The following is a 4,641-nucleotide window of genomic DNA, read 5'->3' as shown; positions in this document are numbered from 1 at the left end:
CGTTTGTGTCTCACTTCTTTCGGTGGAAGCCACATTTCCAAGCCTCATCCCAGTGGTGGCCCCTGAGTCCCCTCAGTGTATCAGTGTCTCACTTCTGTTCACAGATGCATAATATCCCACCCCAGGGACCGGGCACCATTTGTTAATCCCTTCACCTGTGGTGGACACCCGGTCGTCTCCGCCTGCCGAGACCAGCTCGGTCAGGGAGACCCTAACCCAGCGGCGCTAGAGGAATTAAAGACACACACACACACAGAAATACAGAGGTGTGGAGTGGGAAATCGGGGCTGACAGCCTTCAGAGCTGAGAGCCTTGAACAGAGATTTACCCACATATTTATTGACAGCAAGCCAGTGATAAGCATTGTTTTTATAGATTATAGATTTAAAGGCATTCTTTATGGGAAATAAAGGGATGGGCTGGAAATAAAGGGATGGGTTTGGCTGGTTACCTGCAGGAGGAGCATGCCCTTAAGGCACAGATCGCTCACGCTATTGTTTGTGGATTAAGAATGTCTTTAAGCGGTTTTCCGCCCTGAATGGGCCAGGCGTTCCTTGCCCTCATTCCGGTAAACCCACAACCTTCCAGCGTGGGCGTCATGACCATCATGAGCATGTTACAGTGCTGCAGAGATTTTGTTTATGGCCAGTTTTGGGGCCAGTTTATGGCCAGATTTTGGGGGGCCTGTTCCCAACATCCGCCTTCCAGCTGTTACGAAGGACGTAGCTACGAGCGTCTGTGTGCGCGTTTCCGAGGGAACAGGTTTTGTTTCCATGGGGCGTGTGCTTAAGGGGTAAATGCTGAGTCCCATGCTAAGTGTATGCCTAAACTTTTTCAGGAACCACCAAAGTGTTTTCTGCAGCAGCCACACCATTTTACATTCCCACTCCACATTCTCGCATTTTTCTACTTAAAAAAACTCCAGGCAGAGGGAACAGAACAGGTAAAGACCAGAGGCCCAGTAGGCGGTGCTTGGCTGGAGCTCACCAGGGGCTGGACCAGAGGACACGAGAAAGACGGGAGTGGAAGCTGATGCCCAGTGGTGGATGGCAACGAGGGCTCGGGTGGCTGGGCCGTGTCGCTTATGCAGAGGAAACGGAGATGCTTGGAAATGCTTTGCAGAGGTGAGAATATGGCTTGTTGGGAGAGCGCTTGTGTATCTGGAATTATCTGAGGCCTGGAGGAGTGACACCAGTGACAAAGCCTTTGCAGGACACCCAGGAGGCCATGGGAGTTGTCAGGTGGGACTGCCATGAGAGAGGGCTGGAGAGAAGAGGCGGGCAGAGGACACAGCCTGGGAGCATCTGCAGTCTGGGCAGAGGCGGAAGCAGCCTTCAGGGCGGTAGGTGGGAAGGAGACAGGGCAGAGAGGGTTATCCAGGACTCTGGGGAGAAGAGGCAGGTCCCAAGTTGTTTACCAAGAATTTACATTAAAATAACATAAGCTAGGCTGAGTGTTGTCACACCTGTAATCCCAGCACTTTGGGAGGCCAAGGCAGGCGGATCATTTGAGGTGAGGAGTTTGAGACCAGCCTGGCCAACATGGTGAAACCCCGTCTCTACTAAAAATACAAAAAATTATCCTGGTGTGGTGGCGTGTGCCTGTAATCCCAGCTACGCTGGAGGCTGAGGCATGAGACTCGCTTGAATCCAGGAGGCAGAGGTTGCAGTAAGCTGAGACCACACCACTGCACTGCAGCCTGGGTGACAGAGCAAGACTCCGTCTCAAAAAAAAATAAGCTATTGATGGGCTATATATTGTTAAGCTATAGGGTGTGGTTACAGTGTCCAGTGTAGCATTGTTCGATTAATTTATAGCCTCTTGTGGCAACAGCAAGCAGTTTCCAGAGATGAATACACAGCTTGAGTAGGCAGGGGGGAGTAGGACATGACGGCTGCCTCATCTTAACACCTTGGGCCTGATAATTTAAAAGGACTCACAGTCCTCAGATAAACATGACTTTCTTTTCTCATGAGGAAACAGAGAAGGTGGCTAAAGGGTATCTCTTTCTCTCATGATCCCAAACCTATCAGGTTTTTATTTCCCACACCACCCAGTTTTCCAGCTCCTTGGATGCCAACTGGATGTCCTGGAATTCCATTCAATTCTGAGACTAACAACCTGGGTTGCAGTGCACCGTCCTCCCTCCCGGCATCTGGATGAATTCACCACCCTGGGAGTTTTTGGAACCCCATCATTTAGGATAGACATCCTAAATTATGTGTACCTCATGGAGGTTCCATTATGTAGGTGTGGGGCCAAGGGAGAGCTTTTCCCTCAGCCTTACAAGGGTTCTCTGAAAAGTCAACTCACAAAAAGCAGATTAACTGGAGAAAAGGCACACAAATTAATGTGTATACAAGGGACCCTTCAGATAAACAGCTCATTTTTATGCTTAGGTTCAATGAAGTATGGGCAGCCATGTAGAAATAGGATTGGAGGCTTAGCTGGATCTGATGCTAATGGACTGAGTGGGGAAAGCCAGCCTGGTCTGTGTGTCTGGATTCTCCTTGGCCTCTCTGAGCAGCGCCCTCTCCTTCTGGGTGTGGGTGGGACCCTCTCTGGAATGGGGGTCTTAGGAGCTACAGCCAAGCCAGGTAGGTCAGACCATTTCTTTATGGCCAGTTTGTACACACAGAGGCACAGGGAAAATTAGAGCCCTAGTTTTTGGTTGTATGGCTGGCTTTGGGGAAAGGGGTTCTGGTTTCTAGGACCCACTGTGGGGAAGAAGGATTCCCATTTCTATGGCACCTTGAGTGAGAGTGGTACTGAGACACAGAGGATGGGAGAAGCTCAGACAGAAACTTGCTTCAGAGGCTGCTGCTGGGGCCCTCATTTTGGAGTATGATCTTCTAAGCCCCAACACAGGCACCAAAAATAACGTCCTAAGGCCCCCAGTGACTACATGGACCCGCTCTTGGCCAAGGGGACCCCAGAGAAACCTGGAAAACAGTTCCCGGCCGCAACAGGAAGGGAGATTGGACGCCTGGCTGTTCCCACTCCCTTTGGAATTTAGGCATTAATGTCAAAACAGAGATCAGAAGGCTGACAGAACTGACCGTGGCAATAAGAGCCCCAGTTACAAACAGGACCCAAGACCATGTCAGACGAGGGTTAAGTCAAGTCATGCACCCTGTTAGTCACCCCTGCCCCATGTTTCGGGTGCAGATGTCCTCATCGCTGACTCTAGGTTTTAGATAAAGCTTTGCTCCTTTAACCAGCCGCAAACTGAAGACTCTCTGAATCCACCTATAACCGATAAGGCTTGCTTCCAGATATCCCGCGTGTTCGAGCTGAGCCAATATATATCTCGTCCACCTGTAACGCCTGTCCCCTAAAGTGCATGAAGCCAGACTGTAATCCAGGCACCTCAGGAACACTCACTCTAGGCTTCTTGGGTTTGTTTTTTCTCCAAGCTGTGGTCACCGTATTAGGGGTCCCAATAAACCTCTTTAAAATGTTTTACAGAGTTTGGTTTTTCATTAACAGAATAATGGATTAAATTCTTGGCCATCGGTAATCAGTTCCATCTTCAGCTCCTGTCCTCTCTCCCCTCCCGCTTCCTGGAGGTTGGGGTGGATCTGAAAGTCCTCACCTATAAGTCCTGCCTTGGTCTTTCTGGGGAGCAGTCCCTTCCTGAAGCTGCCCAAGGGTCACCAGCTCTGTCCTCTCGTCAGCACACAAAAGACACGCTCATCACTCAAGAGGTTCCAGGTCTCTTAGAAGCTCTGGTGTTGGGAATCTGGGACGAAGACCAAATCTATATTTTGTTATTATCACAATACCATGGCAACAGTCTGCAAACCAGGAAGAGAGCCTCACCAGACGCCAGCCATGCTGGCACCCTGATGTTGGCCTTTCTGCCTCCAGGACTGAGCGAGAAAAATGTTTGTGGGGTGAGCCCTGGTCTGTGGTGCGCTGTTATGGGCGGGACCCCTGTAAGCCCAGAGTCAGCGCTTGCTGCATCCCTGCTCTCAGAGGCGTGTGGCAGTTGCCTTTCCCTGTGGAGGGTTGGGTGAGATTGCCCTTGCACTGACAGCAACTGAAGGACGATTGAGGGCCCTAGATCTCTGGGTGCAGGGCACCTGGTGAAACGACCCGCCACACATGACTGATTTTCAGCCAAAGATCACTTGTAGCTTACCAAATATGCCAGACCAAAAACTAAAACCAAAAGTTGACAGAGAATCTTCATTTTACAAATGGAGAAATCAGAGCATCCTAATGGTGAGCAACTTGTTTAAAAAGGAAAATTCTGTATGGCTGTGGATCTGCGGCTGCTGTCAAAGGGTTGCTTTCAGTAACTTGCCAATAACGGTGGAGCTGTTGTGCTTGCTTCCTAGCCAGAGATCGTGTCAAATAAAATAACCCTAATTTTGGAATTAGATAGGTTGAGTTCAATTCCTAGCTCCTGAAAAATGATTTTGAACTTAGAAATTGGTTCCAGCAATATTATGAGTCAAGTATGAAGGTAGAATAAAGATGTTTTGTGGCATTCAACCTTCCAAAACATTTACCTGTTTAAACTTATTTTAGAAAGTTACTTGAGGATGTGCTCCAGCAAAATGAAGGAGAAAATAAAGAGGAAGACCTGGGATCCAACACATAGTGGATTCAACTGAGAAAAGTTGTGGAGGGAAG

The sequence above is a fragment of the Homo sapiens genome, chromosome 13 (assembly GCF_000001405.40).
Source record: "Homo sapiens chromosome 13, GRCh38.p14 Primary Assembly".
NCBI classification, from domain to species: Eukaryota; Metazoa; Chordata; class Mammalia; order Primates; family Hominidae; genus Homo; species Homo sapiens.
The sequence above is the reverse complement of the archived record's forward strand: the minus strand, read 5'-3'. Positions refer to the sequence as shown.